The 26,666-nt window shown below is 38.1% G+C and overlaps 1 long non-coding RNA gene across 1 annotated transcript, besides 1 other annotated feature; it reads right to left on the bottom strand.

Annotated features, from left to right (window-relative positions):
* Positions 1,714-2,215: an enhancer, noted in NCBI's record as "NANOG hESC enhancer chr1:90597824-90598325 (GRCh37/hg19 assembly coordinates)". NCBI's record gives its function as "activates a minimal SCP1, AML or CMV promoter by ChIP-STARR-seq in naive H9 embryonic stem cells {active_cell/tissue: H9 hESC(naive)}" and the evidence as "EXISTENCE:reporter gene assay evidence [ECO:0000049][PMID:30033119]".
* On the bottom strand, positions 15,878-19,309 carry LOC105378848 (uncharacterized). The gene is made up of 3 exons (XR_947587.2): positions 19,088-19,309; positions 16,532-16,633; positions 15,878-15,978 (listed from the first exon to the last, which is right to left on the bottom strand). It is a non-coding gene; the product is annotated as an uncharacterized LOC105378848 (long non-coding RNA).
* Between the last annotated feature and the right edge of the window lie 7,357 nt (positions 19,310-26,666).

The following is a 26,666-nucleotide window of genomic DNA, read 5'->3' as shown; positions in this document are numbered from 1 at the left end:
CATTAATTACAAGATGATTTGGATGACTTCTGAATCTCTTTTATGTCTTCAGCAGAAGAGAACACAGCATAGCAGCTTTGATATCATAAATAAAATGGGGACGCCTGCCAAGCATGAAAGGTATCCTGAAGTCATTCGCATCTGCTATGTTATCCTGAACCTCTGTAGCCAGGCAAAGAGAATCCTCTGGGCATTTACAGACGGTCAGCAGCTATGCATTTTAGTGGGGAGCTATGTGGCTCTCAAGGATTTTTTTCCCCTTATGCTAGAGGTGAAAATTTTGTTGCTGTTTTTAATTCCTAATGAGCTTAAAGTCCAATTAATATTATTCTAAGCACAGTTTGCCTTCCTAATAGCTATTTTCATGAGCTTTGGCAAATGTCACCAGGGCTTTCTTGTTTGTTGGCTGGGAGACAGGGACAGTATCTCCCCTTATTAAGCAGACTGATACAAAGTGTAGGCACTATGGGGGACCCTAGGTGGAGAGCGGGCAGAGAGACACAAAAGAAATTTTGAGGGTCCCTTACTACAAAACTGGCATATCACCATCATCCATGAGAAAATACTAGTAACTTCTCTTACACAGGTAAGGAAACTGGGGCACAGAGAGATTACACAACTTGCTTGCAAGTTACTAAACATCCAGGGAGAAGCAGAACCAGGATTTGAACTTCTGACTAAGCTCAAAATCCATGATTTCACTATTCCTCTCCACTACACCTGTGGCCGTCATTAGAGCTGTTCACAGGTGATCTGGGGCCCATCCTTTGGGTCATATAAGGTTATGTTTCCTTGCCCTTCTTTCAAGCTAACATAGCCATGTGAACTACTTTAACCAATGGAATGCAAACAGAAGCCTTAAAAGAAAGTGTGTGGTTCACCCTGTCCTCTATGAGGAAAAAATCCGCCTGGATCTGAGGATGACTTGGAGCAATGCACAGCCCTAATAATGGGCATGAAGACTAAGCAAGAAATAAACCTTTGTTACATAAGCCTCTGAGATGCTGAGGCAGTTGGTTACTGCAGTGCATGCAACCTAGTCTACCCTGACAAATACAATACTATGCCATGCCAGCAACCAAGTACAAACATGTAAAAACCTCAGCTGGCCTCAGGAATGGATGAAAAACAGAAAAAATAAAAGTGAGGAAATACGTGACTGAAAAGTTGGCCCGAGAACTCTTAGACTCTGAGAAAGAGAAGATTGTGGTTTAATTAACCCTAGTGGGCACCATTTACATCATAAAATGTGTCAATGGCTCCCCCTAGAGTTTTCCAGTGCCCAGATTGCAAGATTATATGCAGTGGCCCTGTCACTTCTAGCTCTGCTAGTCTGAGAATCTGGCTCGCCATTTATTTTACAGATTACGCCAGATTTACAGGATGTACTGGGTATGGAATTCACAGCTGCAGCCAATGAGCACGTGCCCAGCCCAACAATGAGCTTACTCACTCAAAACATCAGGAAAATTCATCAGTAGATTTATAAGGGCACTTGGCCATGAATCAAAATTAATTCCAGATATGACAGATTACTGTTGTTAAATCCAGGTGAAATGATGTTACGCAGTCATAAACAAAGATGTTTTATCCAAATGTGCAGAGAAAAAGACAAAAGACCTTTTTGGCTTTTCATAATTGACTGGATGTGGCACTGATTTGCTGCACCTAGGGAAGGGATATTTGGGAGAAAAGAGAAAATGAGACACAGCAATGAGGCAGTGCACTAATTTTTAAGAGTCCAGCCCTTTTTCTCTCTTCTCTCTCTTGCCTACCTCTGTTTGGACTATTCCAGTGGAAAATTCTAATTCTACATGCCAACTCTCCCTGCTCAAACGGTCTATATTTTGCCAAAGTTACAGCTGAACAGCAGGTTCAAAGATCCCAGCCACTGCCACTGATCAGAAGCTCCCCAGGATATCCCCCAAGGCTGCAGAGCTATTGAACTGGATAGAGCACCTGGGGAACTGAAGCAATTAACAGAACTTCCTTAAACAGGGCCAGAATGGGTCTCAAGTAGACAAACCACACACAGCTGCAGCATCCCCTGCCACTGCCCACTGGCTGGGTTTGCTCAGGAAACATTAGAGAAGATTCTCAACAAGCAAGTCAGCCCCTCCATTTGTCAGCCCAAGCCCTATCTGTTCACTTCTGCTAATAAGAATGCTAGTTAGTAAGAATGGGAACATCTAAGAAAGTTCTAATCTTGATTAGGAGTAGGTGACTCCTCCAAAAAAAAAAAAAAAAAAAGGGAAGCAAAGCAGTTCAGTGCTTCCAAAGACATAAGGGTAAGCCACACTTAGATCCATAGTCATACTCCAGTTGCAGCAACCCCCAGGGGAAGGGCTTACATCACAACGTTTATGCACTGGAAAATGAGGTAACCTGAAGCTTTCTCTCTACATCACCTGAGGTTTCATTCTACGATGCCTTTGCATGGGCTGTTTCCTTCACTGGGAATGCCTTCCACAGGTAAACTCAGTGAACACCTACTCATCTACCAAGATTAAATCAAGTGTCTGTATGAATCCTTCTCAGACCCACCCAGTCAGAGGTGTGCACGGCCCCTTTTGCTCTTTGCCTCTCTCTTATCACTGAACTCATCCTACTGTGTGATAACCACACACCTGCCTCCTCAGACTGCAAGTGCCCTGGAGACAGAGATGGTGTTGATTTCCCCAGCCCCTGCCAGGGTACTGACACACAAGAGGTACTAAGGACCTCCTTACTGAAAGAGTAACTTTAATATTGATAGTGGAAGGCAGATTCAAGATGCTGTGCCATCTTGGAAGATAAATAATGCTCTATAACTTTTTCTCAGGTGCTTCAGGACTGTTTCAACTACCTCTTCTGAAAAACACTTAATACGTTTTCTCTCCCCTTCCTAAGGCTTCTGCATTGCCTTTACACATTCTAAGGTCCTTTTTTAGTTTCTTAATAAGGTGTCCTTAGATAAGCCTCATCTAGTTAGCATTATTTTGTGCCTGGCTGTGACAGGATAACTGAAAAATCAATGAAAACAAAGGCAGAATGGCCTGAGTTTTCATGACTGAGTGGGCTCCTAGGTGTCTTTTACACAGAATAATTTATGGAAACATCCTTTAAATACAGACATTTCCATCTGTTTCACCTTCACTCTTGCAGGGAAATGAAATAGGAAGATATTCAGTCTGTTTACAACCTAATATTGTTAACCTCTTCTTCTCAGTATTTGGAATTTGGTCATACATCTTTGAAGACTGCCTTAGAGCCAATCGATCAAAGACCATCAATGTATTGTACATCAACTTGGTGCCAGGCACTGTGCTAGGGATTTCAAAGGCTCAATGAACTTAGTCTGGTGGACAAGAAGACATATAAGCATTTTTAAAATAAATGCTAACTAGAGATACAATCACCTTAAGAGTGGATGGATATGGGGGACAGATGAGATAACACTTGCACTTAGCTATAAGGGAAGATGGAGGAAGAAAGCCCAGGCAGATGATAATGAAATAAGAAAGGCAAGAGAACAAAAAGGGACTCAGTGATTTGACATGCCTGGAACAGTGACACCAGGGGATGTGGTGGCAAAGAAGGCATGAAGTTAGTGGGTGCCACATCAGGGGAGTTGTGAGTGTCTTGCTGAAGAGTTTGACTTTACTGATAATGGGAAGCACCTAGAGTTTAGGAAAAGAGGGTGACATAATTCAAAATTCCTGGATTCTGAAGGAATATTTTTAAAGGATATAGGGAGAAGGGGACAATCTGAGCAATCATTTGGAATATTTTGCAGAAACCCTAAATAAATCATTGAGGTATTGTTTTTTTCTTTAAAAAACAGTAAAAACAAACTGATTGCCTTAGATAATTATTTCACTCAACAGAAAATATAAGCACTGCATTGGATCAAAAATGGCTGGAAAACTGAATTTTAAAAGAGAATTTTGGGCAGGCGCAGTGGCTCACCCCTGAAATCCCAGCACTTTGGGAGGCCGAGGCAGGTGGATCACGAGGTCAGTTCAAGACCAGCCTGGCCAACATGGTGAAAGCCCATCTCTACTAAAGACACAAAAAATTAGCCAGGCGTGGTGGTACATGCCTGTAATCCCAGCTATTCAGGAGGCTATGAAAGGAGAATCACTTGAACCCAGGAAGCAGGGGTTGCAGTGAGCCGAGATTGTGCCATTGCACTCCAGCCTGGGCAATAGGGCAAGACTCTGTCTCAAAAAAAAGATTTTTAGCCACTTAGCTTGAAAACTGGACTTCCTTTTTAGAACATGCTCAACACCGATGGCAGATGGGGCCCCACAGTCAAGCAAGAGAGTGAGGCAAGAAGTAAACAAACAATCAGACTGCAGTATGCATACCATCATAGAGAGCTGTACATGACAAGGCAGCAGAGAAAAGGAAGAGTGGACAACTATTCAGGAAATAAGGAGGCCAGATAGTTTTGCAAAGGCAATCTGAGATGGGTTGTAAAGCCTAATTTAAGAGTTCATCAGCCAAAGTGAAAAGAAAACTATTATGAATTTTTTTAAAAAGCCTACAACTATGGCAATAAGTGTATGGTTCAGACAGACAAAGACCGTCCTCCCTGATATCAATCAAAAGGTTTATGACTAATCACAGACATCAATATTTCCTTTAAATAGTTTTCATGAACCTACCAACCATGAATTTATCTATACCTCTTTAAGAAGTTATCTCTATTATCGCTCCCTGGACTTGGAAACTCAATGCTTAACATTAACTTTTGATGTTACTGCAACTTGCTTCATCTCCATTTGAAGGAGGGTGTCTACTAGTCCTGCTTTTCCAAGATTTTTTGATGAGTTCATGTCACTTCTATTGGAACTCCTCATCCTTCAATTCAAAGAATCTTAAGTTTTTTGTCTATCTTTATATTTGAGTTCTCATCCCAGCTAGGATCATTTGGAGGCTCACTCCATCCACCTCAAACATCTAGAAACTTATTTTAATGAAATATGAACTCCTCTCCATACATTGCTCCCATAACTCTGCCATTTCACCCCAGTCCCTACATATTATTCCTTGTTATAATGCCTGACAACGTATCAGGCATTTTAATCTACATGTTAGCTCCTCCATGTTCCTGAAATGATGTAACATGTACAGATTTCAAACCAAGAGTTCTACAGAATAAGGGCCCCAAAGAATCCTAATAAATGTGGCATCACAAATCTGTGCTTTTAATTATTTGGCCTGTTCCTCTTGTGCCCAAAATTATTTCCTGATATTTCTATAGCTATTCTTGGCAAGCAGTCCATACGGGTACCTCTTATTTAACCACAGTTGGTACTTTACTGTCGCTCTTTTTCTTTCCTTGGGTGAGAGAGCTCCTTTAATAAAAGTGATCATCTCAGAGGAAACTTAAATTCCACTGCCTCCCTCCAGTGTTGCACTTAGTGCTGTGTGTTTAACAACACCTTGGGGATTACACTTAAATCCTGGAAAATCTTTAAGCAGCAACATACTGGCAACAGGAAACATGCCTTCCCCTGAGAACTCAGGGACAGAAGAGTGAGAATGGTGGGCTGCCTGAGAAAGGGTGAATGTCCAGGGATGAGAGCTATCACAGAGTGGAGTAAAGATGACCTGCGGGCTCTGCCTCCACATCCAACACAGGGACCTGGCACTGACACTTCTCCAAAGGCCTGGGGTTTCCAGAATGAAGTGAACAAATGTCATTTTAGGAAGGGACAGGTGGTCTTCACAGCCATCTATTTTCATCCCTGCCTGCAATCAAGATCAAGATCTGATTTATACCATCCCAAAGAAGGAAATTTTGGTGATTTTATAAGATCCTTTCTGTTTTGTTTTTTGTGTTTTTTTTTTTTTTTTTTTTTGAGACAGAGTCTTGCTCTGTCATCCCGTCCAGGCTGGAGTGCCGTGGCGTGATCTCAGCGCACTGCAAACTTCACCTCCCGGGTTCAAGCAATCCTCCTGCCTCAGCCTCCCGGGTAGCTGAGATTACAGGCATGTACCACCACGCCTGGCTAATTTTTTGTATTTTTAGTAGAGACGGGGTTGCACCGTGTTAGCCAGGAAAGATCTTTTCTTTATAGGAGATTCACCAGCAATACCACCGTCACCAGTTGCTTAGTCCAGGATTTAATAAACTTCACTGGGAGCTTCTTTATTGCCTCTAACCAATTTTTTTTCTGGCTGAAGCTAAAACCTGCTCCAGTTTTGCTCTCCTCTCATTGTAGAGGAGACAGGGACATTCCCTAGGAAAGAATTTTGCACACACTATTTTCTTTATATAAAATATGCATAATTTTTAAAGCATTAAACTCAAAAGCAACCCCAGAAAACATCATTATAATCACCTCTTAGATTGAGCCTCATAGAATTAAGGTGTATTTTTTATCCTACAAACAATTGCTGAGCAATGACTCTGCACCAAAACAGTGCTGGACATGGCATTGTTATTATTGCATGTTTGATGACCAGGCTCTTGATAAGGCTTTAAACTCTATTAAGTCTTATTACGAATGGGTCAATGACCATTGGCAAGGATTCTTTAGTCCAAAGACTAAAGCAAATATTAAAGAAGAAATAAAAAAGAAAAGTCTTCTTTTACAGTTATACTTTTAATAAAAGGCTAGTGGGCACTGGCTGCAATGATTACTCATACCAAATACAGAGAACTCTTATGATGTAATAAATAAAAGATTCATTTTCTGCATTCTTCCAAGCCAGAAAACCACCTGGTGGTTTACATGTATTCAGACTCTGCTCTTACAAGAAAATTCAAGGACATAAACAAGTGATAAACCAAATAAACATTTTGCCTTCAAAAATCCATTTCACATTTTACCACCTGAAATACCAAGGCTTAAGAAAAGGCAGTTCTGATCTGAAAGAACAAAAGGAAAGTTATACTGGGATGTATGAGATGGATTGAGTCCACTTAACTATGTTGAGGCTGTCAAAACACACTGTTCCACTGCAGCATCACTTTATTGCTTCCCTGCGTAATGAAAGCAATACCTCATATCTCTCTTTATGACTCTGAAATGTTTGAGAATTCCCCCCCCCATTTCCTGTTCTATGTCACAGTTTCAGGTTTCTTCCAATTTCACTAATGAAGTTAGGTCCAGTTAGATCTCCATCTCTTTTGTCAAATGCATGAAAAAACTCAATGTGTCAACATTAAGTTTATTTACAGGTTCAATAAATAAGGAAAGTTGTCCAGCTGAAAAATTAGTGAAAATTATATTTCCACATTGTATTAGTCTGTTCTCACGCTACTATAAAAAATACCTGAAACTGGGTAATTTATAAAGAAAAGAGGTTTAATTGGCTCACAGTTCTGCAGGCTCTACAGGGAGCATGGCTGGGAAATCCTCAGGAAACTTATAATCATGGCAGAAGGCAAAGGGGAAGCACGGAAGAGAGAGCAAAGGGCAAGGTGCTACACAATTTTAAACAACCATATCCCGCGATAACTCACTCACTATCATGAGAACAGCAAGGGGGAAATCCACCCACATGATCTAATCACCTCTCATCAGGCCCTTCCTCCAACATTAGGGATTACAATTTGACATGAGATTTGGGCGGGAACACAAACCCAAACCATATCACACATTAAAGAAGCTGATGTGATGAGATTTAATATTGCAAAATTTTACTTTGATTTTGGACAGTTCAGTGTTTTCCCTACTCTCTTTGGAGCCATGAAAAAGGGAATAATAGGCCAGCCTCACTATTTAAGGACTTCTGGCCAACCCAAGATACCGTGTCCTGTTTGATCCCATGGATAGACCTTGGTAAAATTTGACTACATCGCCAATCTAAAGTAAATTGAGTATATCTTGGTTAGCTTTCTAATTATAAATAAGTAGTTGATTTTTAGACTAACTTGCATGTTTCTTGTCATAGAGGCAATAGAGCCCATCTGTTCATAAATGACTTCCTCCCTGGTGCTGATTGCAAAGCTATGTCACTGTTTCACCTTCCAAGAGCATGCCCTGATCTCCACTATCCATTGTCCAAAAGTTTATAGAACATCAGCTCTGTGTCTAATAATATTGTGAAGCGTAAAAAGATAAATACGTTAAGTATCTCTCCTTAGGCCAGCCACCAACTAATACCAAATGCCAAAGAGACTGGGTGGCTTCCTAGGTTGGAAATGTCCAGGAATAACTTGGATGCTGAACACTGACTCAGTTTTCCCAAAAGGAACCATCACTCTTGATCTTCCTGATCCCATGTTTCAGATTACTTAGACAATGAGTGTTACCAGACCTGGGCCTCTCACTCACCTTTAAAGCTACTGTTAAATTTTAGAAATCCAAAGAGTATAAAAAGATGCAGAAAGAAGACTGGACAGTTCTCAGCTGACTGCAGGATTTTCAGCTGACGATGAGCAACACACAGTCAGCAGGTTTATTTTCTTCAAGCATGACTGTTCACCACCATCCCTTCCCACCCCGCCCCTCCCGCCATCCCATTCCAGGATTACCATTCCAGCTCATGTAATTTTTAAGACCAAACATTCCTCCAAACCAAATATAGAACTCTCTGGAGGATAATTAGGACTAGATGGCGCTCATCATTGGTTTTTTTCAAAAACCTGTTTTCATGATAGCATATCATCAGTACATTTCCCAATACTTTGACAACCACTGAAAATATCAGTGTTCTTTTCTAATACTTGTTTTTTAGATGGTAAAAATGAAATATAGCATACTTAGAATAAATGAAGACTCCCACTATCATCACTGCATGCTGGTTTTTAGAGAAAAGAAAAACAAGCAAATTTTTAATATTTACCTGATGCCTTAGAGCAACTGGTACTGGTTGTTAGTTTTGCCAGAAAGTATGGCTACAAAATGTCTATTCTAAATCTAGATCTATTGTATTTAGTATCACTGGCCTAGATCTTACCTGGTTTATAAATCAAGATCTCAAGCAACAAGTAGCCTTGATCACTGACATTGGTACACATTTCACCATTGTTTATCTTGGAGGTTATGACAGACCAGGATTCAGGATTGCTAAAGGTGAGCATGCTTACAGTGTTTGACGTTTGTGGTTTTTTTCTAAAGGTAAAGTCAGATATCAAGTTAAATCTATTTTAACATTTCCCCAGGCTAGCCTTATTCTATGGAATAACACTTCGGGCCCTCAATCACACATTTGTGTTGACATTAGAACAGATTCATAACTGTTTTTCTGAGTTGAACTCTGGACCTATCTACAGATACTCACTTGGCTCATTTTAAAGCAGAGATAAGCCCTTCTCTCCAGGCAGCCTTCCTTGCTCAAATTCCACAACGGAATATCAAACTTATCTTTGCTTAATTGTCTGTTAAGGTAGACATGCCGGGAGCGGTGGCTCACGCCTGTAATCCCAGCACTTTGGGAGGCTGAGGCGGGCGGATCACCAGGTTAGGACATCGAGACTATCCTGCCCAACATGGTGAAACCCCATCTCTATTAAAAATACAAAAATTAGCCGGGCGTGGTGGTGGGCACCTGTGGTCCCAGCTACTCGGGAGGCTGAGGCAGGATAATCACTTGAACCTGGGAGGTGGAGGTTGCAGTGAGCCAAGATCACGCCACTGCACTCTAGCCTGGCAACAGAGTGAGACTCCGTCTCAAAAACAAACAAACAAAAATATAGACATAACTCTTTATTTGGCACTATATACCAGCTGTGATGCAGATACATTTTAGGGAGTACATCTTATCAAATTTTCAGCTTAAAGAAATAGCTTTTGGAGAATTTCCTCAGGGAGAGAGTCAATACATTCCTCTTAGATCTTTGAGTTCTACTACTGGGTTAAGCCGGGTCACAGAGAGCTTGGTACTTGGACGGCATTACTTCAGTTGTCTGTGGCAAAGTGTTTTTACTGAAATTGCATTTTGGCAGAATGTAACAGGTCTATTTTCAGGGAATGAATTTAGATAGTCTTTGAAAAGTAGGATGTCTTTGAAAGTAAAGATTTGAGAAATATTTGGGTAATAAAACCTCTTGGTCTTGATGATGGATTGAATGTGGTATGAAGAGCTATGAAAAGAGAGAGAGTGAGGAAGATCATATTTCTGACACGGATGATCTGATGTGTGGTAGTATATTTAATATTAATTGATTGAGACTCAGACAAGGGGATAAACAGAGTTTGGGAAATATGCAAAACATCCAAGTACTTATATCTAGCATACATTTGAATAAATAGGTCAGAAGTCAGAAAAGAGGTCAGTACCAGAGCAACGGGCCAACAAGAGAAAATCTGAGCAACATCAATGGCTTAAGAGACCAGCATAGGAAGAGGATTTGAGGAACCATTTTAAAAAAGAAAATGTAATGAAATATCAACCACAACATTTCTAAATAGGAAATCATTTTACACTGGCTGGCATGAAATTGATAATATGACCATTAAAACTGAAAATAAGAGAGTCCAGCAATTTCACTGAATTTAGGAGTAAACAAAAGATTCATGTCTGGCAGGTTGATTCTCTTCAGCTAAAGATATTTTTATTGACTTCTACCTTGATGAGAATATTTTAATAAAGAGGAAAAAATAGGTTTCTTGATCTAAAGAAAACTATGATTTCAAAGTGGACACCTGATATTCAAGAAAAATATCACACACATATAACACACACAAATATATAACAAATCATTAATGTAAGTATCTTTTAGGTACATGGGTTAGAAGAGACATCCATTTTTCTTGTGTATTTCTGTAGTATTTTACTTTTTTTGTTTGTTTGTTTGAGATGGAGTCTCGCTCTGTCACCAGGCTGGAGTGCAGAGGCACGATCTCGGCTCACTGCAACCTCCAACTCCCCAGTTCAAGCTATTCTCCTGCCTCAGCCTCCCGAGTAGCTGGGATTACAGGCACACGCCACCACGCTCAGATTATTTTTGTATTTTTACTAGAGACAGGGTTTCACCATGTTGGCCAGGATGGTCTCAATCTCGTGACCTAGTGATCCGCCCACCTCAGCCTCCCAAAGTTCTGGGATTACAGGCATGAGCCACCGTGCCCAGCGGTATGTGAAGTTTTTCTAATGATCAAGCATTTTAAGCAAAAAAAAAAGATTAAAAGAAAACAAATTGAAAACCTATATATTTTTCCAACAAATTTTTATCCTTTCCATAATGCCTTCTTCAATTGTCATCCCCGGTTTAAGGAAAGCTGTTTTCATTTTACCTGTGTCTGCTGGATAAGTAAATGCCAAAGAATTCAGGTTTAGGGGGACACTATGGTCTCTGGTGTAAACTAGAACACAGTCTGTCCTTGGCAGGCTTGCTGCTTCTCTACAGGAGATTACTCAACAGAAATGGAAAGCTGGCTGCTGGTGAATTCACTTGCTGTCACCCACAAGCAGCCCTGGCCCTCACAGTCCTCTAGCCAAGTAGAAATGAAGCCTTTTGTCAATTTCAGCAGCCCGTTCCTCTCGGGCTAGGTCTCTCCTGAGGCCACTCCTTCATGCCTTGCTCTAAACTTGCAGCTCTGCAGAGACCATATATGAGACTGAAAAGTCAGCCCCCTTGGATCAAGAGGGCTTCTGCCCTTTGCCCTGCAAGGGCTGTTAATTTTACATTTGCAGATAGAAACTTACCCCCTGTTGCTCATACTGATGAACCTAATGGCTTCCTGGCATGCCAAGGTTCACAGCCATCTGCTCTGCTGGCAGCATGCCCTCATCAAAGGTGGTGTGCCATGTTCAGACGGGGGTGGGGAATGGAGATCAACCAAAGAAAGGTTTCAAAAGTGGTAGCAGTGAATGTAATGATGCCTTATTTGCAAAAAGACCTCCTGGTAGCTAACAAAGCCAAATGAGGAACACATGCTGCATTACAAGGCAGCTGATCTACTGACAATTGTTGGCATAATATCATCAAAGCCAGTTTTTATTCTGTATCCCTTTTCCTAAGTGGTTGCCAGATGTGGAATTCTAAATTTAGGGCAGGTAAAGCCTGGTTGGCCAGACTTTTTCTGGGAGGCCACGCATAGGATAGGACATATGGCACCATTTATGGGAGAACCTTCCCTAAAATATGTAGATGCAGCTTATTAAGCTATCACCAGGGCTGGGTGCTAGCCTCCGATGAGGCTCCATGGCTGGGAAACATGCCTGTCTACAGGCTTCTCAGATATGGTTGCATCTATCGAATTACGTGGGACACACTTATACTAAAAAATTAGTTTTTGTTTGTCTGAAATTCAAATTTAGTTGGTGTTGTGTTTTTATTTGTGAGGTCTGGTAACCCAGCTCTTAGATCAAGCTGAAGAAAAGGAGCAAGGAAGAAAATTTAAGGAGATTTGGGGCAACCCTAGGACAGCTGTCAGAATTAACATCTTAGAATCAGAGTGGCACTGATAAATCATTTTTTATCTGAAAACACTCACTTTCCTATGTGGGAAGGGCCTTTGATTATTAGAGGATTTCAATAATTGAGTCTTGTTTTAGCTGTCCGTGGCATCTCTCAAGCTTTATGTTCCATCATCCCACTATACACACACACACATATACACACACACATGTACACACATACTCCTCCAGCCAAACTATGGTCCTTAGTGATCCCTCAAATGCCATGCACAGCCCAGTCATCACAACTACTTGGAGAGGTCTCCATCCTCATTTCACTTGTTTACGTGAGACAAAGTTAGCAGTGGAAAGAATGTTTACTTCACTTTGGAGCCAGTTCAACCTAAGTTTGAATCCTGGAATTGCTACTCACTAATTGCAAGTTCTTGGACAAGATTCATCATCATTTCTTAAATGACAACTCTAAGTTTTTGTTTCTTCACCTTTAAAGCAAGTGACATAACCCTGCTCCCTAAGGTTATTGTGAGGAATAAATACAATAATGTACTAAAGTGAATTACCTGGCACATAGTAATTACTTAAAAACAATAGTTATTGCTACTAATGTTGTTGTTGTCATTACATCATTCAAAGCCAGCTTATAAGCACAGAGACCCAGAAATTGTCTGCCTATATTTAGATCCTGGCTCTCTCTTATAAGCTTAAGGGATATTAGGTAAGTTATTCTGCATATCTGTGCCTCAGTTTACTCATATGTAAAATGTGCAGGCATACTATACTTGGCAATAGAAAATGCCTTCCTCTAAGATCTAGAACATGAGAAGAATGCCTACTGTCACAACTGTTTTTCAACATATTACTGGAAGTCCTAGCTACGGTAATCAGACAAAAGAAGATATAAAAGTCATCCAAATTGGAAAGGAAGAAGTCAAATTATCCTTGTTTGCTGATGATATGATCTTATAGTTGGAAAAACCTAAAGATTCCACAAGAAAACTATTAGAACTGATAAACAAATTCAGTAAAGTTGCAAGATACAAAATCAACATATAAAAATCAGTAGCATTTCTATTTGCCAACAGTGAACAATGTGAAAATGAAATTTAAAAAGTAATCCCATCTACAATAGCCATGCATAAAATTAAATACCTGGGAATTAACTTAACCAAAGAAGTGAAATATCTCTGTAATGAAAACTATAAAACACAGATGAAAAAAATTGAAGAGAACACCAAGAATTGGAAAAATATTTAACATTCATGAACTGGAAGAATCAATATTGTTAAAATGTCCATACTACCTAAAGCAATCTATAGATTCAATGCAATCCCTATCAAAATACTGATGACATTCTTCACAGAAATAGAAAAGGAATCCTAAAATTTATATGGAATCACAAGAGACCCAGAATAGCCAAAGCTGTCCTGAGCAAAAAGAACAAAACTGGAGGAATCACGTTTCCTGACTTCAAATTCTACTACAAAGCTATAGTAAAGAAAACAGCATGGCACTGACATAAAAATGGACACATAGGCCAATGGAACAGAATAGAGAACCCAGAAACAAATCCACCCACCTAAAGGAAACTCATTTTTTACAAAGCTGCCAAGAAGATACACTGGGGAAAAGAGAATCTCTTTAATAAATTGTGCTGGGAAAACTAGATATTCACATGCAAAAGAATGAAACTAGACTCCTATCTCTCATCATATACAAAAATCAAATCAAAATGGATTAAAGATTTAAACCTAAGACCTCAAACTATAAAACTACTACACAAAGACCTTTGGAAACACTCTCCAGGACAATTGGTCTGGGCAAAGATTTCTTGAGCAATACTCCACAAGCACAGGCAAGCAAAGCTAACATGGAGAAATGAGATCACATCAAGCTTAAAAGCTTCTGCACAGCAAAAAACACAATCAACAAAGTGAAGAGACAATCCACAGAATGGGAGAAAATATTTGCAAACTATCCATCTGACGTATTAATAACTAGAATATATAAGGAGCTCAAACAACTCTATAGGAAAAAATCTGATAATCGGATTGAAAAATGGACAAAAATTTGAATAGACATTTCTCAAAAAAAAGACACACAAATGGCAAACAGGCATATAAAAAGGTGATCAGCATCACTGATCATCAGAGAAATGCAAATCAGAACTACAATGAAATATTATCTCACCCCAGTTAAAATGGCTTTTATCCAATGACAGGCAATAACAAATGCTGGCAAGGATGTGGAGAAAGGGAACCCTCGAACACTGTTGGTGGGAATGTAAATTAGTACAAGCACTATGGAAAACAGTTTAGAGGTTCCCCAAAAAACTAAAAATTGAGCTACCATATGATCCTGCAATCCCACTGCTAGGTATATACCCAAAAGAGAGGAAATCGGTACGTTGAAGAGATATCTGCACTCCTATGTTTGTTGCAGCACCATTTACAAAAGCTAAGATTTGGAATCAACCAAAGTGTCCATCAACAGAAGAATGTATTAAGAAAATGTGGTACTTACACACAATGGAGTACTATTCAGTCATAAAAAAGAATGGGATCCAGTCATTTGCAACAACATGGATAGAAGTGGAAATAATTTATGTTTAATGAAATAAGCCAGGCACGGAGAGACAAACATCACATGTTCTCACTTATTTGTGGATCTAAAAATCAAATCAATTGAACTCACAGTCATGGAGAGAAGAAGGATGGTTATCAGAGATTGGGAAGGGTAGTCGGGGGTTGAGAGGAAGGTAAGGATAGTTAATGGGTACAAAAAACTGAAAAGAATTAATAACAGCTACTATTTGATAGCACATAGGATGACTATAGTCAATAATAAATTATATATTTTAAAATAACTTAAAGCATATAATTGAATTATTTGTAACTCAAAAGATAAATGCTTGAGGGGATGAATACCCCATTCACCTTGATGTGCTTATTTTGCATTATAGGCCTGTAATAAAACATTGCATGTACACTATAAATATATATACCTATTATGTACACATAAAAAATTTTTTTAATAATTTTAAAAAATTAAAACCTCAAGAAAAAAAAATGTCATGTAAACACTGGCCATTATTGTCTTCTATCACATGTTCCCAGCACACCCCAACCAGGATGGTGCAATTCTCCTCTTAAGTTCTTCAGCACATTACCAGCTCCATAAGCATTTGGTTCTTAGGAGAGGTTCTGGTCTTCAACTGTGCTCAGCACCCAATATGAGCTCCCTGAGTGTTTGATGATGAAAATAAAGAAGATGAAGCAAGCACATGAGACACTGAGCTAAGCAGGCACCAAAATGGGTGCTCCTGACTATGAGCATGTATGGACAGTCAGCCAGCAAATTACCTCTATTTACTATGCTTACTGTGTGTGCCAGGCACCATGTTAGGTGCCGTATGTATTCCCATATATTTAGTGTCATATCAACCCTATGAATTAGGTCATCATTTTCCATTTTTACAGATGAGGAAACTCAGCTTAGAGAGGTTCAGTTACTCACCTTAGTTTGTACAGTCTAGAAGGCATTTCAAGATTCATCCTCAGGAACCTGATGCTACAGCCAGTGCTCTAGGCTTTCATGCTGTTTTGCTGTGGAAAAGTTACTTAAATTAACTGAGCTTTGGTCTCCTTAGCTGTGAACCAGGGATGACAATCCTCAGAACTGCAGGGAGGATGAAATGAGGTGATTCACGTGAAGTGCCTAGCTCAGTACCTGGTATATACCTACCACATGCCCAGCAAGTACTCGGAATTAATAATAGTATTGAATATCACAGTTGGGAATTAAACTTCAGTTAGTATGACTCCAAAGTTCATACTCCTAACTTCTGACCTATAATGTCAATTGAACAGAGACCTGAAAAATACATCAAAAAACCTAAGCCTCTAACTCCAGGATTGATTTAATAAGTAATTTTTTAGGTTTTCCTTGATGTTTCTTAAAGTCTTTATCCTTGAGCTACAGCATCTATAGTACATTTCTCTCTAGGGAGTCTGTATGCTTCCACCAAGAAGGGTATTTTCTCTGAGATGAGCGCCCGACTCTCCTGAGGTGAGGACTTCACTCAGGACCAGCAGGAGCAAGAATCAGATTCACAATACTCATGTCTCCCTCCCCACAGGTGTGGGGTCCAGCTCTCCAAGAGGTCTTGCCAAATCCTGCACTGTTCTCTGTGGCACCACATGCTTCCAGCATAAGCCAGAGTCACACTTACTTGTCTCTCTCTCCAGGTGACATCATGGGCTCCAGTCAAGGGTTTGCGTCCATGAACTCCTGAGCCAATTACCAACTCCTTTTCAACCTCAGTTTTTAAAATCTGTGAACATGGGTGAATAATAGTTACTCAGAGAGGTAGAATAAGGTCAAAATGAAGTGACGTTATGAAAATGCCAGGTTCACAGTAGGCATTCAATATTTTACTTATAAACAGGTTTATTAGTATGTTAACAAACCCACAGTTCTAATAGCTTCACAAAACAAAAATTCATTTGATCCTCATAATAACCCTATTAAGGTAGGGATTATTCTTATTGCCATTTTACAGATAAGGTAACTGGGGTATGGAGAGGCTAAATAACTTTCCCAAGTTGACACAGCTAGAAAGTGACAGAGCTGAGATTAAAACCCCGGCAGATTTCATACTTTTAGCGAATTCCCTAAGTATTAGTTCTTCTTTCATCCCCTCTACTGCTGATCTTTCCCCTTAATCCCTTAGGCTAAATATGTTGTCCCAACAGTCTTTCCCACAAATCATATGTTGGGAGCCCAAATCACTATGCCACATGGTGATAACAGGGCAATTGTAAAGAGGAAATAAATGGTGTTAACATACATCTTTAACAAAGCCCTTCATGATGGAGCTCCTGCCTCCATAATTCCACAAGACCCCTTTATTCCAAGCAAATGTGACTGCTTGTGATTCCCAGCCTGCAATCCTGTCTCCTGCTTCCATTACATCACACATGCTGTTTCCTCCATCTGAAACTCCTTTCTCCTCCACCTTCATTTTCTCCCTCTTTCTTCTAACTAACTCCTACCAGTTCCTTCCTGAATCATTTTATTACATTGGTGAAAAAAGGAATTGTGGTTTTTGCCATTTAAAAGTAATGGCAAAAACCGCAATTACTTTTGTACCAAGCTAATACCAGGTGAGTCTTCCGTGATTTTTAGAGTTTAGATACCCATTCACCCCATTCACTGTATGATTCCATAATAGCCAGGCAATATGTTCTATCAAAGCACCTGTCACACTGGACCACAACAATTGACTTTTTTGTTGCCTGTACTTGACTATGAGTTTTTGAAGGCAAAGACTGCATCTTATTTATGTGTGTTTCCAGTGCCTAGCACTGTCCATGTCATTAAGCAGGCATTCGACATATGTTTGCTCCATGAATGAACAAAGGTTTCGGCGACTTGGAAATTCTCCTTCTTCCCTCTAACTTCTGTATCTCTCACTTTGTCCACAGACATATATTATCCAAACAGAGAGGCAGAGAAAGTGGTTGGAAGTGTAAGAAATAGACTTCAAACACTTGAAGAGGAAGTTATGTAGAAATGGATCATTTTGATTCCTTGCATTCCCTGAGGTTGCCAAAAACATTCATTAAAAACATAAAAATCTGAACAGAAAATTAGCATTTGATCAGTTACTTATATCTAAGCATTATTATTCATTGAATCTAATTGGTTAGATTATTTCCTTTTGATTTTTTTTAAAGAGAAACAATGCTCAGTAGAGAGCATTAAAGCCTTTAATTCTAATTCTGAAAAATATGTAAATATTAATATCAAATATGTTCTAAATACCAAATAAAATAGAGTTAGCCCTGGAACAACTGGGTACACTGTTTAAGTTATGCCTTTTTTTTTTTTTTTTTGCAAAAGTATGCTGGCTATTAAAGCCCCATAAAACACAAAAAATAGAAAGGAAGTGGTGAAAATCTCCCAAATTGATCTATAGTGAAAAAGAATTGGGCAGGGTCTGGTTATTGTTATGTGACTATACGCACAAAGGTCCAAAGAACACAAAAATGAAAAAAATTCTGCTTGCGTGCCTTATGCAATAACATTTCTGCTTTTAGATTTTCTCTGGACTTTTTGAGAAAAGTATTTGTTCCTAAATTACCTGGTGCAACCATCACAATGTTTGAGAAATTTAATTCTGCTTACATCATTAGAAGCCCAGTATAACATCTCAAAAGAGCATTTTAAAAATTACTTTTGATATTTCATCCAAATTTGAATTGGAACAGGAAGAGAAGTGTCTCTTTCAATGTTATAAGGATTCAAATGTAATTATCACTTTCACCTAGAAAACATGTCATCACCAAAATAAATTTATATAAAAACTTGAAAATACAAATTAAATGGTACAATATATACGTATGTGTACATACACCTATACTTGTATGTTTTTTATTGATACATAATTGTATGTACTTATGTGGTACTATACTTGTATGTTTGTGAATATGAATTTCTGTTGCAACTATTTGAATGGTTCCTTTGAGCAATAAGTCATTGGACAAAAAAGACTATTTAAATGGCCACTTAAGATAAAGCCATTTTCTCCAACATTGGCTTCCATAGCAATACTGCGATTAACTAATGGTGGGATGTATTTTGGTAATTGGCTGTCATATCCAATCTCTATGAAAAACTGCATATCCCAGATGTCTCCACTACACATTCAACTCTATCTTGAAAAATCGAAGAAATTTTGTCCCAACACTGACAGAATAATAATGAGAACCAAGCAATGGCTTACCCTCTTGACAGCCAAAATCAAGAATGAGGCTACCTTTTTGGGTCCTCAACCTCACTCCGTGGACTGTGGACCAGACTCTGAGGATGCTCTTCAGGAGGTAAAAGCATTGTCCCTGAGCATCAGTTATCCTCAAGGCTCAGATCAAAGGAAGAGCATCTTCCATGTTACAGACCTCCACTAGCAGCTCTTGCAGTCATCCATAACACTTCTGCAGGGCTCACACTTCAAAACAAAATTCCCAGAGAAATAATATAGATAAGATTAACTGAGAAATAGATACAATTGAAGAGTTTTTTTAAAAAAAAAAAAGGGAGGGGGGCTTATAAAACAGTAACCCGATTCTTTTTTTATTCAGTTTCAATAATAAATAATTTAATATAATAATTTACGTGCATTTAAAAGGCTAGGCAATAGAAGCTCTAGGGTAAGCATGACTTTCACAAACCTGATATAATACCTATCTAAAAACAATTCATATTTATTACTGGAATAAATCCCTAAAATTCCTTTCTAAAGGCTTATCAAACCAAATTGGGTCCCAGCCCAACAAATCGAATTAGAAATCCATGTAAGTCTGCTAACTGAGTTATTAAAGTGATCTGCATGGATATTCCCAGTTCACCAGAAAAACCTTCTGTTTGGATGGACATTTAGTCAAATGCTGCCCTCTAGTGAGAAAACTCTGTTAAAGGCTACAAAAGGCCCTAAGATTACAAAGCATTCATAACTTCAAAGAAAAGACACCCAAATAAGATTAACCAAGTAAAATCTTCAACTAGAAACCACAGTTATTCTAGATTAAAATATCTATTTCATTTTTACTTTGTTAATAATGCCTATATTTTCTTTCTAAAAGTATCTTGTAAATAGGTAACATATTTAAATTACCATGGTAGGGATAGCTCAACCCGTGTGATATTTAGATATTTTTAGGCTTTTACATTTGATAATCCAATAATAGTAATTGATATTAAAGTATGATACATTTATTTGTTTTAGCTAGTGATGCAGCTAAAGAATTTGTATAAAATAAAATGGGTGATAATATGGTCTCCCACTCTGTCAATTAAAAAAACGTAAAACAAGTGGTAGATATTCCACAGAATATTTGCATTAATAATCAATACTTCACTTCTAGATATTTATTTTGCTGTAAAAGTCAAGATTTCTAATGTTCTTTAACAATATAAGAATATTGTTATATCTTCAAATAGAAAACTCAACTACTCACTTCTAATTCAGCAAAGGAAAATCTCTACTTTCAAGTTTCTTCACGCAATTCTAGTACATTTTATTCATTTAGCAGAAACAGGCATTTAGCATTTTTTAAATTGTATTCTAGACTTCGTAAACCCTGACAGTGCAAATTTCCTCCTAAGACACAATCTTATTAGAGCATTTATTCATTCTTCTGTTACGTCTTTTAGTGAACTTCATGGCTACCTGCTCTAAACCCACACTCTGCTAGTCATTTTGGATATAATGGTGAAAAGGATGGGCCTGGTTCCAAAACATATGTATCCTGTAATCGAATGAGGGAAACAGATACGCAATCAGGTAATTATGAAGCCTTACGATGAAGAGAGACATAGTACTCTCCAGAAGCAGGTAGAAGGTGTACCTGATCCATATTGGGAAAACAGGAATGCTCCACTCCCCAAGAAAGTAAGACTTGAGTTTCAACAAGGTTCTACAGCCATTGAAAGTCCTCTGAAAGTAGTGTGAGCCATACAGACCAATTTCTTTTTGCAGAAGCAATTTCCCTGATGGTTTTGTGCTTTCTTCAGTAAATCATTCCCAGTTAGATATGCAGTGATGGTATTTCCACACTCAGCACTGGTGACACTTACATTTGAATTAACTCTCCCCATAAATGTAAAGTAAAATATTTATATTTTAGTATATTTACTTAATAGAAAATTGTATTCTCCTTTCTTAATTTTAAACACATCTACACAACAATATGCCTTTCCTTTTCAAAAAAAAATAAGAAAACTAAAATTAAATTATTGTGTAAGTATATTGTCGTCATGTGCTCTAGTAGACCTGCTAGTACCCTATGTGGTCTTGGGCAAGTCATACATCTACAGTCTGGATCCTTTCAGCTCCAATATTCTGTAAGTCTATCAGTGACTCTCTATATAAATTACTCTTGGCCTGGCACAGTGGCTCATGCCTGTAATCTCAGCACTTTGGGAGACAGAGGTGGATGGATCACCCTGAGTTCAGGAGTTCGAGACCAGCCTGGGCAACATGGCAAAACCCGGCTCTACCAAAAATACAAAAATAAAAATAAAAATTAGTCAGACATAGTGGCATGTGTCTGTAATCCAAGCTACTTGGGAGGCTGAGGCTTGAGCCTGAGAGGCAAAGTTTGTAGTAAGCTGAGATCACACCACTGCACTTTAGCCTGGGCAACAGAGTGAGACCCTGTCTCAATCAATCAATCAATCAATTAGACTCTTCATTTTAAAGTATTGTACTTGTTGTTGACTTTCAGTTTTTCATCTTCTAGTCACCATGGTCATCATGGTTTACAGAAGACAAACTCTTGCTTGAGTAGGATTTAATCTTGTTCTTTCTTTTTTTATTATTTATTTTTATTATGCTTTAAGTTCTAGGGTACATGTGCACAACGTGCAGGTTTGTTACATATGTATACATGTGCCATGTTGGTTTGCTGCACCCATTAACTCGTCATTTACATTAGGTATTTCTCCTAATGCTATCCCTCCCCCCATCACCCACCCCACGACAAGTCCCGGTGTGTGATGTTCCCTGTGTCCAAGTGTTCTCATTGTTCAATTCCCACCTATGAGTGAGAACAAAAAGGAAATAGAAATTGAAGTTTGTGGGGGAGTGTTTACTAAAGTCCTGGTTCTAGATTAAAATGTCAGCAATATATCAAGAACATATCTCTATAAGAAGAATTAAGCTCAGGAAATTTGCTACTTAAGAGATCTTTTAGTTTCCTTTAACATTTAACATCAAAATTTAAACACGCATGTGGAAAAGTTTGCCGGGATTTTTATTTGTCTTTTAAAATACCTGTCTTATAGATATTTATTTCTTAAAACTAATTTTAGTGCAGAATAAGAATTTTAAAACAGAGCTTAAAATATATGTATATATCAAGGAGAAAAGCATAGGGTATTCTTAACCCAAATTGCATGTAAGTAGGTTCAGTTACAACTTCTAAATATTACTCCAAGCTCTGAAAAACAGAAAGCTGTACAAAGTAGGTGCAAGATCCTTACAGGAAGAATTAGAAAAACGGGGTTCTATCTGAGAGTGTAACAAATCTTAGCCAAGTTAATTGATTACTTCTCTGTGTTTGAATTTTCTCATTTGTCCTGTCTCACGTATGACACTGAGTTTACGTAAGGAGCCTGTGAGCTACTCTTTGTGAATATGCACTAAAAACTATAGCAAACTGGCAACAACCTAAACATCCACCAATAGGGAAAGAATAAACAAAATCTGGTATACTCATACAGTGAAATACCACACGGCAAATAAAAAGAATAACCTAAATATATACATTTATATGTATATTCTATATACATCCATATAGAATACATGAACATTGATAAATCTCAATAAAAACTATATCATTGAGTAAAAAATGTAAGATACAGAATGATACACAATTGTACTACCTATATTTTTTAAAATCACACAAAACAATACTATGTTGTTTAAAAGTTGCATATAGATATACAACTTTTATTTTAAAAAAGTACAGTGATTGTCTCTCAATATAGAGGAAAAGAAACAAAACTCAAAGAAATATGACAAAGAGTTAACCATTAGTTCTGAGTGCTAAGAATAAGGCTGTGTTCCATTTGTTCTTTAGGGATTTTTTTAAACTATATCTTTTAGATTCCTTTTTAAACTTTATTTCGGGCTGGGTGCAGTGACTCATGCTGGTATTCCCAACACTTTGGGAGGGCAAGGCAGGAGATCACTTGAGCCCAGGAGTTCTAGACCAACCGAGGCAACATGGCTAGATACCGTCTCTACAAAGAATGAGGAAAAAAAAATTAGTCTCAAGTGGTGGCTTGCACCTGTAGTCCCAGCTACTTGGGAGGCTGAAGCAGGAGGACTACTTGAGCTCAGGAGTTCAAGGCTGCAGCAGGCTGAGATTGCACCACTGCAACAGAGTGAAACCCTGCCTCAAAAAATGATAATAAAATTAAATTAAAATTAAAATTATTTTCAGCTAACAAAAATAAACAGTAAAACACCTTGTTAAAGAGGTTAACATAGGGCTGGTGCAATGACCCTCAGATCCTTCCAATCTTTGTTTGATGATCTTCATCTGCTGATCAACATATGCAATCATCTGACTATAGGGTCAACCTGTATTTAATAGAGAATGAAGGCAAATATCTACATAAATGGATCCTGGAATGTAAGTGCAGAGATGCATTCTACAAAAAGAAAATTTACACATTTTCAATTCCAGACAACCTGAAGGCTTGCGCTTGATACCAGTCAAAAATCCTTTTCCTGGTCTCTGCCTTCAAATCTTCAAATAAAATTAGGACTTTCACAATCTTTTCTTAAAAAGGAAGGGGTCAACAAAATCTCATCGTGTTCTTCATGTTCATATCAGCCCAAGATGTTTTTCCCAGTCCTCCTGTCCAAGAGATAAAACATTGAGTAGAATCCCTAGTATCAATTTCCAGGGATGGTAAAATCATCTGTAAAATCTGTGATTTTGTAAAATCACATGATTCTGTAAAATCAAGGTGGAAAATATGGGATTTGACTTGTTCCATAGATGTAATTTAAGATATAAACAGACTGTTCACAGAAAGTGGTAAACAAGTAACTGTTAAATATATGTTCAAACGCTTACCTCAATTCATAAGAGGAGAAATGTGATTTAAAATTATACCAAAGTATCTTTTTTTCATATATATCAAATTGACAAAGATCAAGTTTGATAAGGCCACTTAACGCAGGATGAGGGTGTAGAAAATTAGGCACACTCATCCAATTCGGGATGGAGTGTAATCAGTACAATGTCTATGGAAGATAATTTGGCTACATCCATCCAAATTACAAATGCAATTTCATTTGACCAGCAATTACATTTCTAGAAACTTATACTACAGATATTTTTGCATATGTGTGATATGTCATATGTTTAAAGTAATTTTTTGCTGCAGTGTTTTTAATGGCAAAATACTGGAAACACTTTAGATTAACGGCCAAATACTGGAAACACTTTCAATTTTATCAGTTGAAGACTAGTTAAATTAATCATAACACATCACAAAATGGAATATAATGCTGCCACTAAAAAAGGATGAGGAAGCCCTCATGATTTGATATAGAAGATCTCCAAGATCAATTATACAGAGAAGACCCAAAGTGCAGAACAGTGTGTGAGAACACTACCATTTGTATGAAAGGGGAAAGACGGTATGGACCTAGGATATTTTTGAAAGAACAGACTAGTAGATGTGAATGCCAGCAATTTGGGGGGAGGAGAAGAGAAAAGGGCAAGTGGAGGGTAACCCTCAAAGATAGACTTTTTACTGTATACTATATTTTTATTTTGAACATTATGAATGTGCTACTTGGTTTTAAAAATTAAGTTAAAAATTAAGTGGCATAGTTTTAGTTATAATGGTGAGAGACCCTTGAAAGATGTCCTACATTTTTACAGGCGGCTCTGGCAAATGTAAGGAGGTCCCTCCACTCTCTAAAAAGCAAATTAAAAAAAAAAAAAAACCCAGGAAAAAATGAACTATATCACGAGAAAGACCTGGGAAGGAAAATCTCCTAAGAGCATGGAATCATTTTGTCAGTTCTGGCAATTTATCTCATCTGAACCCACCATATAAAAATCAACCCAGATTTTCTTAAAACCAAGCCCAGTTAAAGATATTCAGCCAACCTCTGCTAAACGAGGACCCAATTCAAATTTGTAACAAAGCTTAGAAATCCAACAGTTATCTTTCCCTTCCTGATCTTCAGTGTAATTGTGAAACTCAACAGATGTAACATAAAATACAGAAGTTGTTCTCTTTTGGTAAAGCAAAAATTTACCTTCTTAGCTCAAAAACCTATCAATGCCTATAACATAGAACCAACAGCTAAAACTAATGTGAACCACACATTTCAAGTAGGAAAATCCGGCATATACAAAGCATCAGTCATATAACGGGTCATCATGCAGCAATAGGGATAGAAATTTATCCTAACTAGCCCTGAGGGAAGATGTTCACCTTAACAGATATTACCACTAATTTGCATCTGATTATTGGTTTATGCTTTATTTTAGCCCATTAAAAAGAAGGCTATTATGAGGTTAAGGGTTTTACAAATAGACATCTTACACTGAAAAACTTCAAAGTAGATATTTCTGGTTTTTGTATATTTGATTACATTTTTATGTAGAGGAATCAATTGCTTTTGAAAGTTTTATATTATTCTGCCTTTTGTTGTTGTTGTTTCCAATTTCTTCAGATGCATCACCATCCAATATATCATCATCCAGCACTAGAGATCCAAAAACTGTGAGCACAGCCTCCTGTTTCTACTTGCCGCAAAGGGTCTCCTAGCCACTCTGTGGTGGGGCCACTGAGCTATTTCTGTGCTCTGGGAAGATGTTTGACAACCTTGCCAAGGTAGTTGAGTTTTTTCTTCTTTTCTGAAGAGCAGCCAGTCCTCATTTTCCTTATGAAAAATTTCCTTTGTGAAATTCCAGGTCAAAAAAAAAAATCTATTCCCAGCATGTCCTTAGGAAGTTTTGGTACAGAAAGACAATGTTGTATGAATTAATTAGCATTGACTTGAAAGAATGAACAATTTAGAGAAAAAGAGAAAAATTTCCTCAACTGACCTCAGTGCCATATAATTAAACATATATATAAGAAAAATAAGGGAAAGAAAAAACATTTTTCCATTGCTAGTAAATGAACATTTTTCTATGAATAACAAAGTATAATATCCTGGAAATACAATGACAATTTCCCACACAGGCTTTCCTTTTAAAGATGCAAAAAGGCTTTTTAAAAACAACTGCCAAATGGACCACTTACACATCTTGAGAGTTACTCACAGAGCTGGCTTTTCATTAAGCTTTTAGTGCTTTTAGTTGGGATAAAAATGCTGCTTCTTTTTTGGCTGGCTCCCCCATCCTGTCAGACTTTTAAAACAAGTTTCACAACTAGTCTGCCACAGGCTCCTACCCCACTGCTTCCTCACTTACGTGGACCTCAAGATTTCCCTGACTGATGCAGCTGGCAGCCCAGAGCTGCCTATGATAATAACTGTGACACTCGCTTTTCTTCTGAAGTTGTGGATTCATTAAAAAGAAAGCATTGCATCTTGCTAGAGAACAAGGTTGATCCCACATTGAATGTTTCTATTACTTAGACACAAACAACAAATATAAATTATATTTATACGTACCCATACACATCTACACCTTCTGCAAATTCTACAAATTTGCTGTCTACCCACGGGTGGCAACCCAAACCAGTACCCATGTATCAGCTGCTACTCAAAGTGTATACTTTAAAAGAAACAATCTGCACTTAAAGAAAGAAATCCTTTCATC

Source organism: Homo sapiens, chromosome 1 (genome assembly GCF_000001405.40).
Source record: "Homo sapiens chromosome 1, GRCh38.p14 Primary Assembly".
Lineage (NCBI taxonomy): Eukaryota > Metazoa > Chordata > Mammalia > Primates > Hominidae > Homo > Homo sapiens.
This window is presented reverse-complemented; position numbering and strand designations above follow the sequence as displayed.